The sequence below is a fragment of the Homo sapiens genome, chromosome 2 (genome assembly GCF_000001405.40).
Source record: "Homo sapiens chromosome 2, GRCh38.p14 Primary Assembly".
Taxonomy (NCBI): domain Eukaryota; kingdom Metazoa; phylum Chordata; class Mammalia; order Primates; family Hominidae; genus Homo; species Homo sapiens.
In genome coordinates, this window is record NC_000002.12 from 32,740,326 (window position 1) to 32,754,810 (window position 14,485).

Below are 14,485 nucleotides of genomic sequence, written 5' to 3' on the forward strand. Positions count from 1 at the left end.
GCTACATTTGCAGATCATTGTAATCATGGACTCTTAAAAAGTTTTCCTTTAAATTGTAAGTTAATGTTGTATTTCTAAAACAGCTAAGACTTTTTTAGCAATTGGTTTGGATTTCCTGTTTTGGGGGCTTTTTTTTTTTCTATCATAGAGATTCTTTATACAGTTTAAAAGATTTTCCCAGAAGTTCTTTCCTCAAACTATAGCCAGAATAGTCTTCCTAAAGACAAATCTGCCATTCTCACCCCAAGTAACTTCTCTCTGTTTCCAGGGTTAAGTCTGAGCTGTTTCGAATGAGTGGCTTACAGACAACTTTATTTATTTATTTATTTACTTACTTACTTATTTAGAGATGGAGTTTCGCTCTTGTCGCCCAGGCTGGAGTGCAGTGGCACGATCTTAGCTCACTGCAACCTCCACCTCCTGGGTTCAAGCGATTCTCTTGCCTCAGCCTCCCGAGTAGCTGGGATTACAGGCGTGCAGCACCTTGCCTGGCTGATTTTTGTATTTTTAGTAGAGATGAGGGTTCACCATATTGGCCAGGCTGGTCTTGAATTCCTGACCTCAGGTGATCCGCCTGCCTCAGCCTCCCAAAGTGCTGGGATTACAGGCATGAGCCACCGCACCCAGCCTCACTTTATGATCTGTCTCCTGTTTCCATTGCCAACTGCATTTTCTCCTTCTTTTACTCCCCTTCATACCTACTCTGTCATCCAGGTTGCACCTGAAGTTCCAGCAGTACTTTAATAGCTTGAATTAAAGTACTTGTAAGTTCTTGATTTTGTAGCGCCGTCTCACTTCAGACCTTTGTAATTGTTGTCTGTCTAGAACGTTTGTCTTCTTTCAGCTAACTGCTACTTATTCTTTAGGAGATTGCTTTCTACAGAGAGCCTTCCCAGATACTTTCCTCCCACATTTGGTGGTACCATCCACCTGTGTACTCCTATGGCACCCAAACTACTCTGGTACCCCATTTGTTGGCTCATCTGATCTACTAAATGTAAGCTGCTTAAGAACCAGACCTGTGTCAACAGCTGTTGGCCAGGTGTGGTGGCTCACGCCTGTAATCCCAGCACATTGGTAGGCTGAGGCGGGCAGATCACGAGGTCAAGAGATGGAGGCCATCCTGGCTAATATGGTGAAACCCCATCTCTACTAAAAATACAAAAAAAAAAAAAAATTAACCGGACGTGGTGGCATGTGCCTGTAGTCCCAGCTACTTGGGAGGCTGAGGCAGGAGAATCACTTGAACCTGGGAGGTGGTGGTTGCAGTGAGCTGAGATCACACCACTGCCCTCCAGCCTGGGTGACAGAGCGAGAATCCAATAAAAAAAACAAAAAACAAAACAACAACAACAACAAAAAAACAGCTGTTGCCCCAGAACCTGGCAAAGTTTTGGCATGTAGCAAGAAGTCAATCATATTTGCTGCATGAGTAACTAGTAAGTGATCACTCAATAGTTATCTCATTGAAGCAATCTCCATGTAGGACACTCCTTATGGATGACTGCATGTGGCAGAAGATACCCCTCCAACCACTGCCTTACTCTTCTCTCTCCAAAAACAAATTATGAGATTCCCCCACTCCCATTTGAACCTTCTAACTTTAGGAGTAGAAATAGGAACAAACCTTAAAGAATTTTGATTCTTGCTCAGTAAATGCTAAGGAAACTGTGAGCATATTATTATGTAATGCTATCTTTTGAGGGCCTTATATGTACTGCATTCTTTATATAATTATTTTATAATTGTCATATGCTATTCATAACAACCCACAAAATATGGATTGTTTTCATCACTTTACTGATTAGCATTACTAAGTGGCAGTTTTGGAATATGAGCTCAGACCTTTATTTCCTTTAAAGCCAGCACCCATTTCCCCACAACTGCCTCCCATCATGGTTATTGTTAATCCCTTAAAAATTGGATATTAGCTTTGTAAGTTAAAACCTGTTGTGCTCACTTGATTGAGAAAAATAGGCAAAATAATGGAAAATACTCTATAAATTGGTAATGCAAATAAGAGATGATCAACTAATTGAATAATAAAGCCTGTTTTTAATTACTCTGTTTCATCTTGGACCTGGAGTATTTATGTTGGCAAGTAACCTTTAAAAAAATCAAGCCAGAGCATGGTGTTGTCACACATATAACTGTGAAAAACAATTAGTGAACATTTGGCTCCATGAGAGAGTAAGTAGGAGTAGACACCACTACACAGAAGTGTAGCTGGGAGTGTCTGATGGGTGGGGCAAAGTGTTTTGCACTTGTCACCTCTCAGCTGCTGCTCATAGAATAAGAATTTAGACTAGGAGTAAATTGCCATTCTGCTAAAAGGGTTGTTCTTGGTGAGAGGGAAACGTGCTTTGGAGTTCTGTCAGCTGTGCCCCTGTCATCTTTATGTACTGTATTGAGGACGTAGAGCACCTTTCAGTGGTCAGTCTCCCTGTCATTGAGAAACAGCCTCTACAATAGAATCAGAATCCATTTTTTGCTCTCTGCTTCAAGGTAGAAGGCTAGAATTAGACTATGGCCAATGTTTTGTGAGTCCCTTGTGTGTGTGTGCGCACACACTTTTTAAAAATTTTTTTTAATCCTAAAGCTATTGTCAAGATGCCAAATCTGGCTAATTGGGGAACCTTAAATTCTTAGCCTGCTTTTTCTCCATTCTCTTGGAGCAAACCTGTATTTATTAAGTCTAATTTTGCTCTTCATGTGGTCCTCAAAGATACTCTTCATAGTTGGTGCCATCTCTGGGTCTAGAGCTTATTTTTTTCCCCTTCATTTTTTACGTGGAGGGCTTCCTATAGTTGTTGGTCTGCCAATTTCCCTTCCTAATATACTGACCAGTTGCAAGGTCAGATAAGAACCACTCTTATCACACATTAGAATTTTAATTCTTTCCATTAATTCACAAAATTTCCGCTAATTCACAAAGTTAAGGCACAGATCACAGCCAAAAAGGGTAGTTTCATTCCTTCTCACTCAAGTATGAATAACTTTCCTGAAATATTTTGTCTACCTTTTCACTGGAGGCTCAACTTAATTTTTCACCCATATTCTTTACCCCAAACCCAAGGCTTCATCCCTGACAGAGTGCTTCCTGGAATCCTAGTGGTGCTTAGGGTAGGATCTTCTCTCCCACAAATCTCAAATTTCCCATATAACAACTTGCAGAAAAACCATATCATCATAAATATAAATGAGCCCCAATATAGCAGGTTTTCAATATATTAGTTCCTTTTCTTGCACATACCTGAAATTCTCAGTTCTCAACACTGGACTGTTCTATCGCAAAATACACCATCAGGATGGGGAACCCCTCAAATACCCAAAATCCCCCTTCAGGCCATCAGTTTTGCTTCTCTGTGTTTATAGTCCTAAGAAGAGTTGCTTCCTAGTTCTCATCATTTGGTTAGAAGGGCATGTGAAATTCAGATTCTGCTATATGACCTCTCTATTCACTAGGGTAAATTTTTGTTAGATCTCTCCTAATTTAGTCATGTAGTGATACTCAGTATTGATTTCAGCTAGAGTGTGTCACCTAAAGGAGTTCTCCTGTCGTTCCCAAATGTGAAGGATCTTTTATGTTTCTGTTTAGTATCTGAAGGACCTTAGAAAATACCATTAGCCCTTTGTGACTTTAGTATTAGTTCCAGTTGAGTTCATCCAATGTTTATAGACTACCTACTGTTTGCTGGGTAAGAATATTCCAAAGATGACTAATAGACAAACTTACTACAAACACAGTTATAGTCCGATATGATAGATACACATGAGCAAATATTTTAGTATGACAGTGCTAAGATAAAAGTATGTACAGATTCCAAATTCTATGTGGCTCTCATATTTACAGCTACATAATTCTTTCTCTGCTGTCCTGCTCTAAAGCAGTGATCTCCTTGGTTTGTATCTTGCATAGATTCCTTTCTGAGATTTTTAGGACTCCTGTGATTTTCCACACTTTTAATAAAAAATCCAATGTTTGGTGGAAATTAGCCTTATGTGGAAAAATTTAGTTTTGATCTTCTACTATTAGTAATTTTTTTCTCTTTGACCTCACTTTCTTGATTCTTCTTGGCTAAGTTCTGTAATCATCTATTTAATGTTGACAACAGCAATTTTTCTGTTTTTGGAGAAACTACACAGTTGACCAGTGTGATTATTTATGGAAAATATTAATGTTCCTAGAAGCTCTTTCAAGTCCCCTCTTCCTAGAGGTAGGGCAACCTCAAGTGTCTTGCTTTCCAGTCTGGTTTTCTAATGGAAGGAGTTGAGGAAGAAGATAAACAGTTTAGGGCTTACTGCTTCTTTCAACCTCTCTGAGGTAGGTAAGCCAAAAATGAAGAAGAAACTCTCAAAATGTTAGTTTAGCTTGTTCATGGTCATTCATTTAGTAAGTAGATTTGACATTTGAAATATCTGATTAAAAGCACATACATCCATGGCCGGGCGTGGTGGCTCCCGCCTGTAATCCCAGCACTTTGGGAGACCTAGACAGGCGGATCACAACGTCAGGAGTTTGAGACCAGCCCGCCAGCCTGGTGAAACCCCATCTCTACTAAAAATACAAAACTTAGCTGGGCATGGTGATGGGCACCTGTAATCCCAGCTACTCAGGAGGCTGAGGCAGGAGAATCCTTTGAGCCCGGGAGGTGGAGTTTGCAGTGGGCCAAGATCACGCCACTGCACTCCAGCCTGCCAGCCTGGGCAACAGAGTGAACTCTGTCTCAAAAAAAAAAAAAAAAAAAAAAAAAAAGCACATATATCCTCACAGATCTTCTTGTAGTTGGAAGTCTATAGACTAGATTATGCAACACAATTTTTTAGTAATATGTTAAAACTATTTTGGTTGTAAAATAATTAACACATACTAGCTTAGGCAAAAAAGGATATTTTATTGGTTCTTGCTACTGAAAATTCTAGTAGACTTCGCATGAGAGCTCTTCCAGGGGCTCAGATGATATCATCAGGACTTTTTAGCTCTCTCCCTGAGGCAGACATGATGGCCACAGGAAGCCCAAGTTTAGTAATCTCAGTGGAAAAATACAGTCAATTCCACATCTCTAAAGAACGATTCAGTGGAAGACTGAAGGGCTTGAGTCATGTGCCTTCTGCCATCTCATCTGATAGGAACTACCTGGACCACACATGAAGTGGGTTTTCCTCAGGGAAGAGGAGTTTAATTTTCAGAAGATCAGGGAAGGGATGCTGAGCAGGAAAAAAGCAACTGTGATGTCCACTGTGGGGTGGGAGTTTAATGACCTAAATCTGAAGTTGCAAACTGGCAGCTTATGGGTGAATATAGGCCAGAGAGACAGTTTTTTTTTGCCTAACTCAGTATTTTGAAAAAAAAATAATAATAAATAAATATTTTAAGGATACTTCATCTTAAAAAATCTAGACTTCTTGGCCTCTCTTAAAGAGTTTAAAGATGTGGAAACACTGAGCAGCCAGAGTCTCATGTTGGTGTCCTAACTGGCTGGAGCTAAGCAGTGGCTCTTTCCTTTGGATGCTCATCTACCAGCCCACTATATTCATCTCAAAAATTGGCAAGCATCTCTGGGCAATTTAGGGTATGACCTTTGCTCTAAATAGTGCAGGTTTCCCTGGTCAAGTAAACAGCATGTTACTCCGGTTATAATTACAAGTTCTGCTTGAGTCTTGGCCAACTTAGTTTTGTGCTGAGATAGTCATTGCCAAAAAAAAGTATTAAAATTAATAATTAGTTGTGTGGAATTACTATAGATTGTTGAAACAGCTTAGATTTGTATGTATGTGGAGCGGGGGTAATGATCTTTGGGGTTTGCATCTGAAAAGATTCTTGCAAGCGCTGCAGGTTCATTGCAACCAGTTGCCCATTTAAATATGTTTTTTTTGTTTGGGGAATGTATTTTTATTATTTTTAATAGACATTTAGATATAAAGTTTCTTGCATCCTATAAGAATGCACATCTGGCCAGGCACAGTGGCTCACGCCGGTAATCCCAACACTTTGAGAGGCCGAGACGGGTGGATTACCTGAGGTCAGGAGTTTGAAACCAGCCTGGCCAACATGGTGAAACCCCAACTCTACTAAAAATACAAAAAATTAGCCGGGCGTGGCAGCACATGCCTGTAATCCCAGCTACCTGTGAGGCTGAGGCAGGAGAATTGCTTGAACCTGGGAGGCAGAGGTTGCAGTGAGCTGAGATTGTACCATTGCACTCCAGCCTTGGCAATAAGAGTGAAACTCCATCTCAAAAAAAAAAAAAAAAAAAGAATGCACATCTGTATATTCCCATGGGGAAATAGTAACCAATAGCCAGAAATTCTAAAGCTTTTGCATTCTGTGAAGATTTATGGCCATTCACATTTTGATATTGCAGAAGTGATGTTATGTAGGCCCTGGTACTTTATTTATGTTCACTGGGCACATCTTTTGTAGCTCATTATTTGGTAATAAATTATGTAAATTGAGTGGATAAGTGGAGGAAGACAGAGAAAACAGAACATTTTGGAAAGAGTGAAGAAGACTGAGGAATGCAATATGACTAGCTGAAGAAAGGAAATACTGCCAGCATTGCCCTTGGGAAAGATAATTTTGTTGGCAGAAAGAAGAGGTATAAGATCTCAGGGAGAAAGAATTAACTTATCTAACACAAAAATGTGGGATAGAATTTGAGGAAAGAAGAGGTCAGTTCAGACCAAGCAGGGTGACTGCTCTAGTGTTTCTCACCTTCTCTGGAAAGTTACACACTCTGGCCCTTCAGACCCATCTTGCAGTTAATAGAATATCCAGAACTGATGTTGGGTAGCAACAAGTTACACACCATCTATTATGTTCCTCATTCTTAAAAGAGTTGCGGTGGGTGGGAGTTGGTGGAGGAAATATATGAAATCCTGAGTACCCTAGCATTTCCAAATGTGAAGATTTTCCTGATTATGATTTCATTTTTCATTTGTATACAGATGCTTCTTGACTTACAATGGGGTTACCTCCCAACAAACCCATCGTAAGTTGAAAATAATTGTAAATCTAAAATGCATTTAATACCCCTAACTTACTGAACATCATAGTTTAGCCTATTCTACCTTAAATGTGCTCAAAATACATTAGCTTAAAGTTGAGCAAAATAATGTAACACAAAACCTATTTTGTAATAAAGTGTTCTGTATCTTATACAGTTTAAAGTGAAAAGCAGAATGATTATATGGGTACTTGATGTACAGTTTCTACCAAATGTGTATTGCTATGGTACCATTGTAAATTTAAAAAATTGTATGTCAGACCATCGTTAAGTTGGGAACTGTTTATATTTATTTTGTCTTCTTTGCAATGGTTGCAGAATACTAGGTATTAAACTCTGGTAAATCATCACAATCTATACTATAGTATAGTTTGAAGTAGAATAAATATTTGTAGAATGGTGTTTTTAACCAAGCAGATTCTTTGAGAATATGATTTGATGTCTGAGCCTTGGATCCTGTTTTCAGCGTAGGATACCTGGGGAGTATAGTATTTCCCTGTAATCCTTTTTATTTCTGTAAGATTGGTAGTAATGTCTCCTTTTCTTTCTAATTTTAGTAATTTGATTTTAAAGATTTAACTTTTGGTTTTTTGATTTTCTCTATTATTTTTTGATCCTCTGTTTTTTAAATTTATACCCTAATTTTTATTTCCTTTCTTCTCCTTGCTTTGGGTATAGTTTGCTGTTCTTTTTCTAGTTACTTTTGGTGGAAGGTTAGATTATTGATTTGAGAACTTTTTTTTCAATATAGGCATTTATAGGTATAAATTTCCATTGAATCAGGCTTTTGCTACATCCCGTAAGTTTCAGCATATTTTGGTTTTGGTTTTGTTAATCTCAAAGTGTTTTTAATTTTGTTGTAATTTCTTCATTTCATTGATTATTTAAGAGTATATTGTTTAATTTCCACAAAATTCCTTTTGTTATTGATTTTGAATTTTATCCCAATTGTGGTTGGAGAACATACTTTCTATGACTTCAGTCTTTCACATTTGTTGAGACTTGTTTTGTGGCCTGTCGTATAGTATATCCTGGAGAATGTTTATGTGCACTTGAGAAGAATGTGTATTCTGCTGTTGGCTGGAGTGTTCTTTAAATGTCTGTTAGGTCTAGTTGGTTTATAGCATTATTCATGTCTACTTACATCTTTTGTGTAGTTATTCTGTCCATTTTTAAAAGTTAGGTATTGACATCTCCAAATATTATTGTTCAGTTGTTTATTTTTCTCTTTAGTTCTTTCAGTTTTTGCTTCATGCAATTTGGAGTTATTTTAGCTGCACATATATTTGTGATTGTTATATCTTTCTTGATGGAGTAAACATTTTATCATAAAAATGTGCCTTTGTTCTAACAATTCTTTTTTTTTTTTTTTTGAGATGGAGTCTTGCCGTGTTGCCCAGGCTGGAGTGCAGTGGCGTGATCTCGGCTCACTGCAGCCTCTGCCTCCCAGGTTTCAGTGATTCTCCTGCCTCAGCATCCTGGGTAGCTGGGATTACAGGTTTACGCCACCATGCCCGGCTAATTTTTGTATTTTTAGTAGAGACGGGGTTTCACCATGTTGGCCAGACTGGTCTCGAACTCCTGACCTCAGGAGATCTGCCCGCCTCAGCTTCCCAAAGTGCTGGGATTACAGGCGTGAGCCACCATGCCTGGCCTGAGTTATATTCTTAATGCCTGTACCAGGGATTACTTAAGATAGTTGATTTTAAGTCTTTGTTTAGTAAGTCTAATATCTGGGCATCCTCAGGGATAGTTTCTGTTGATTGCCTTTTCCCTGTATAAACATACTTTCTTGTTTCTTTGCATTTGTTTGCCCCAACTGTTATTTACCACCTCAGGCAGCTGCAAAATTAATCAGTCATTTCTAGTTGTTTTTTGAAAGACTTTTCACTGAACAAGCTTAGAATTAGGTCAAATAAAGATAGTCTTGCAAGTGAGCTTTTCCAGGGAATCACTAGACTGGGCATATGATGACAGTTTTCCAGAAATGCAGCTTTAAAGGTGTTTCAAACCCATTCTGCCCCCTCCAGTGGCTGCCAGGCCACTAGTTTTCACGAAGATTGCAGGCTCTTGGTATTCAAGACTACTACAGAACTGGAGAAGAGGGGATTGGAATGGTACAAGTTAAAATGCCATGAAGCTTGCTCTTCTTACCAAGATTTAGCATTTCTCTTGAATAAATGCTTCCTGTATTATTGCAAGTCTTTGGTTAATTTTCAGAGTTCTGAAAAAGTTGGTTCTGACACTTTTGGCCAGTTTTCTGGTTATTTTGTAGTGGAGGGAATTTTCAGATGTTCTTATACCATTACATTTGCTACTGTCTGCCTGTGGAATAGTGTTGAAGCTAGAATCAAGTTCCTGCTTTTTAACTTAGTGTTTCTTGGGTTTTGGGTGGCCAATTGACTAAGAAATCTAAGCTTTTATTTCTTTCTCTCAAAAATGGGCATGTTAATATATACTACTTGGAATTATTGTAGGGATTACATGAGATCATGCATTTAAGAATCAACTGGATAAAAGCTAACCTATATGTTACTACCAAATGGAAGGATACATAAGTTCAAAAGGTAGAAATGGGAAAAAAAAAAGATTTTATCACTTAGGCCTGTTTTATGGAAGCAGAGCCACTTTGAGTATTTTAGAGAATAAGTGGTTTACTAAAGGAGTTGAATCTTAACACAAATGTGAGAAGAGCTGGGGAAATGAAGGTATGGAAGAGGGAATCAGAAGATCAAGGCAAGAATCATTGACTAGTCCACTTGAAACATTGGCACAAGTGGGTAAGTCAGAACTTAAGGTAAATCCAAGAAGCCAAATACTTTCAGACATTGAAATGGGACCATGAAGCAGGGGCTTGTGGAGGGATCTGTGGACAACCATTATATCTATATAGCTATTAACCCTGTGAGTCCACACAGCAAATGTCTCAGGGGCCTGGGGATGCTATAGGTCAGCAGAGCCAGCAGTTGGAAGGACAAGGTATACACACAGAGCATGGGTTCTGGGATCTGCAGAGCATCTCCACATCTTGTTTGTTACCATATTAGACCATGACAACTTTCCAAGAGTAAAGGCTGTTGCTTCACTTCTGCCTTTGAAATCCTTGATAGGTTCTCCTATGATGAACTCTAACATGAAATCAGAAGGAAAAGGGATTTTAGGAAACAGTTTCCAGTTTAAGCAAGTTGACATAGCATAATCCAGTACATATGACTATGCAAGGGTTTAGTTGTTTAACTTGGGAATTTACTTATTTGGAAAGTAGCAACGTACTAGCAGGTACAGATTATTCCATAGATTGTGTTTCATAAAGAAGAGTTTCTGACATGGGGAAACTTTAAAATTTCTTCAAACGGGGGTTTAGATATTGAAGCATTCTTACAACATATAAAGTTAAATATTTAATTTAACAAACCTTGATTTGTTTAATAGATGAATTCCTTAGGGGTGATACATCAAATGGATTTTTGTAAATTCAACATTTCCCTAATAACAAGTATTAATACCAGCTATATGATAATTTTTAATTGGTTTTCAGTTGACATTGGCACAGAAGTTTTTTAAATCTTAGTTTGTGTTTTGTTAGCATGATGTCATCAAGGCCATGGGATGGTGAGACAATCAAAGTCATTGCAGATTAAATTATATCATAAAGTCCATGTGGTTCTGAGGCAAGATAGGACAAGCATACTTCTCTCTGTGCTGGTAAAAGGCTGCTATATCTGGTGTTGTCTGGTTATTGTGTAGAGAATAGCACATTTGCTGTATCAGTACCCTGCTTCCCATGTAATGATTTATTCCAGCAAAGAGATCATGTCCAGAACAGTAGCTGTAATCAGAGCCACCACTATGTTAAGTTTATCATAATCCATGACATTTTCCAGGACCCATTTTTGTTCTGCTCAGTTTAAATGGGTAGGTTAAACCACACACACACACACACACACACACACACACACACACACACACATGCACACACATATACACAAGTTTTTGATAATGACACCAACCTCTGGTTTACTAGATATGCAGTGTTGCTTTGAGTTTACTCTTTTAATGAGAAGAGTATGTACGCTTCAGGGGCTTTTGCTTGGCCCTTTTTACTGTAGTAGCACTTAGTAGAGGATCTGCTGGTTGCTCAATATATCTAATTCACTGTACACTCACAGTGAAGGGAAGAGAAGGAAACTAGAGAAATCACCACTAGATAGATTCAGGCCCAGATTACTGGGCCTACCATGGGATGGACAGACTTTCATTAACCCAACCACTCATCGTGATGATGTTTTGAGTCCCAAAGGGTTAACATTAAAGAGGTAACCCTAAGAAGATGGGGTATTTCTATTTCCCCAGGATACAATTATGTGGCAAATATTTATGTTTACTTCTTTGGAAAATACTAGGGAAGAGCTATGATATATCCTTGTTATGTTATTTCAGAGTCCTTCCTGAATGGTATTGGCTTCTTGTTTATTTTTATCTAAAAGGCTGTGAGTCTTTGAAGTGATTCAAAGATAGGAACTGGGTGAGAGACAATGTCTTATCATGGAGACTCAGGTCAGGCATCTGGTCTCCAAACCTAGAAATTTTTTTCTTTAATGTTATACATATCAAGTTTGAACTTCATCAGCTGCCCATCTAGTTTGGAACTGAAGTTTCAGGATCAGTCAGTCACTACTTAAGATCCATGCTAGTCTGACCTAAATATCTGATTATCACTGTGGCCATGCTGATTGCAAATAACTATGCTCATAATGCTTCCAGGTTCAGTGCTATCAGCAAGTCTCTCCCACCCTGGGTTCTAACCACCCCCGTTAAAATCAGGAAGCCCATTTCAACAAAAGGACCTCTAAGCTTTTCCCCAGCTTACACGGAACATCTACCATAGCACTTTTCAAAAATGCTGGTTCTCCCATTTAAAATGTAAAAGGAATATCATCTGGGCCCTGTTGGGGACATAGTTAGGGGTAGATGAGCAGGTTGCAAGTGATAAATTAACAACAGCCTTTTTGTTCTAAGTTATTGGATGCCTTCCTGTACATTACACAAAGGAATTTCTGGCATTTTAACTTTGTTTAGTTTTGGCCACATTTGAGTCCAGATTTTAGTCAAGCAGTTGAGCAAATAATTTAGAACCATCCCCAGCTGCTTGAGTTAGCACTGCGAATCAAAAATTTCTGATGAATATCTTAATTCAGCCCGATTTAAATTATGATCCTTTTTCTCTCTGGTCTAGCATGGTTAGAATCTCTTTTACCATGTGGTCCCAAGGTTTTCCCCTGTAAATTAACAAAATCAGCCGTTCTTTTTGCATGTTGGTTTATTTTTATGTCTGAAGGCAGTGAGGGATGGAAGGGTACAGTCATTATGGTGTCTTTAAGCAAAGTAGCGCTAGTCTTATCAGATATACTCTGCTGGTACAGGAAACTTAGTAGATTTGGAGAACTTCTGTTATTTAAATCCTCCCAAATGTCTCCATTTAAATTCTTGGATCCTGCTCTTTCATAATCAGTGCCCTCTTCTGCTCCTGGCCAGGATGAAGTAACTGTTACTAGACTTACCCTCTTTCTTTAAACAATGGTTGCAGTTCCTATTGCTGTGTAACAAACCCACTCAAAACTTAGTGGCTTAAAACAACAGCAATCATTTGTTTCCCTCTCATGGTTTCTGTAGAACAGGAATTTAGGAAGGGTTTGACTGAGCAGTGGTCTGGCATTACTCACGTAGTTGCAATCAGATGGTGCTGGGTCTCGGACACTTGGGGACTGGCTAGGCAACTCTCTTCATCTAATCTCAGGGCCTGTCAGTGGGATTTCTCCACATGAATTAGCTTGGGCTTCTTCACAGCATGATGACTACAGGGAGTAGGACTACTTACCTGGCAGCTCAGGACTCCAAGCGAGGATTGCAAGAGAACCACACAGAGGCTGACTGGCCTGTTATGCTCCAGCTTTGAAAGTCGCATAGTGTCACTTTTACCATAGTCCCAAGCCCACCCAGAGCAATCGCTAAAGAATATAAAATGATATATAACTGAAAGCCAATAGAGAAAATAAATGGGAGACTAAAGCATACTCGGTTAATCCAATCAAATGCCTTTTTTTTTTTTTTTTTTTTTTTTTGGAGACAGAGTCTCTCTCTGTCACCCAGGCTGGAGTGCAGTGGCTTGATCACAGGTCACTGCAACCTCTGCCTCCCACTCTGCCTCCCAGGCTCAAGTGATTCTCCTGCCTCAGCCTCCTGAGTAGCTGGGATTACAGGCATGTGCCACCGCGCCCATATTTTTATACCTTTAGTAGACATGGGGTTTCACTATGGTGGCCAGGCTTGTCTCAAACTCCTGGCCTCAAGTGATCCGCCCACACTGGTCTCCCAAAGTGTTGGGATTACAGGCTTGAGCCACCGTGTGGAGCCCAAATGCCCTAACATTCACATAGAACTAGTGAAACTGGGCCGGGCACAGTGGCTCACACCTGTAATCCCAGCACTCTGACACTCTGAGAGGCCGAGGTGGGCAGATCACTTGTGGTCAGGAGTTCGAGACCAGCCTGGCCAACATGGTGAAACTCCCTCTCTACTAAAAAACACAAAAATTAGCTGGGCATGGTGGTACATGCCTGTAATCCCAGCTACTCGGGAGGCTGAGGCTGGAGAATCGCTTGAACCTGGGAGGTGGAGGTTGCAGTGAGCAGATCATGCCACTGCACTCCAGCCTGGGCGACAGAAGCAAGACTCCATCTCAAAAATAAAAATAAAATAAAAAATAAAAATAAATAAAAAATTAAAGAACTAATAAAACAATTCATTCTACATTCTTTTTTTTTTTTTTTAATTGATCATTCTTGGGTGTTTCTCGCAGAGGGGGATTTGCCAGGGTCATAGGACAATAGCGGAGGGAAGGTCAGCAGATAAACAAGTGAACAAAGGTCTCTGGTTTTCTTAGGCAGAGGACCCTTCGGCCTTCCGCAGTGTTTGTGTCCCTGGGTACTTGAGATTAGGGAGTGGCGATGACTCTTAACGAGCATGCTGCCTTCAAGCTTCTGTTTAACAAAGCACATCTTGCACCGCCCTTAATCCATTTAACCCTGAGTGGACACAGCACATGTTTCAGAGAGCACAGGGTTGGGGGTAAGGTCATAGATCAACAGTATCCCAAGGCAGAAGAATTTTTCTTAGTACAGAACAAAATGAAAAGTCTCCCATGTCTACTTCTTTCCACACAGACACAGCAACCATCCGATTTCTCAATCTTTTCCCCACCTTTCCCCCTTTTCTATTCCACAAAACCGCCATTGTCATCATGGCCCATTCTCAATGAGCTGTTGGGTACACCTCCCAGACGGGGTCGTGGCCGGGCAGAGGGGCTCCTCACTTCCCAGTAGGGGCGGCCGGGCAGAGGCGTCTCTCACCTCCCGGACGGGGTGGCTGGCCGGGCGGGGGCTGACCTCCCCCACCTCCCTCCCGGACGGGGCGGCTGG

The 14,485-nt window shown here is 39.9% G+C and overlaps 1 protein-coding gene across 5 annotated transcripts in view, besides 1 other annotated feature; it reads left to right on the forward strand.

The window, feature by feature from the left end:
* Positions 1–14,485, forward strand: part of TTC27 (tetratricopeptide repeat domain 27) — a 193,002-nt gene that overhangs the window by 112,276 nt on the left and 66,241 nt on the right. The gene's annotated exons all lie outside the window — the stretch shown is intronic.
* Positions 3,346–3,485: an enhancer, noted in NCBI's record as "active region_15561". NCBI's record gives its function as "activates an Ori minimal core promoter by ATAC-STARR-seq in GM12878 lymphoblastoid cells {active_cell/tissue: GM12878}" and the evidence as "EXISTENCE:reporter gene assay evidence [ECO:0000049][PMID:35858748]".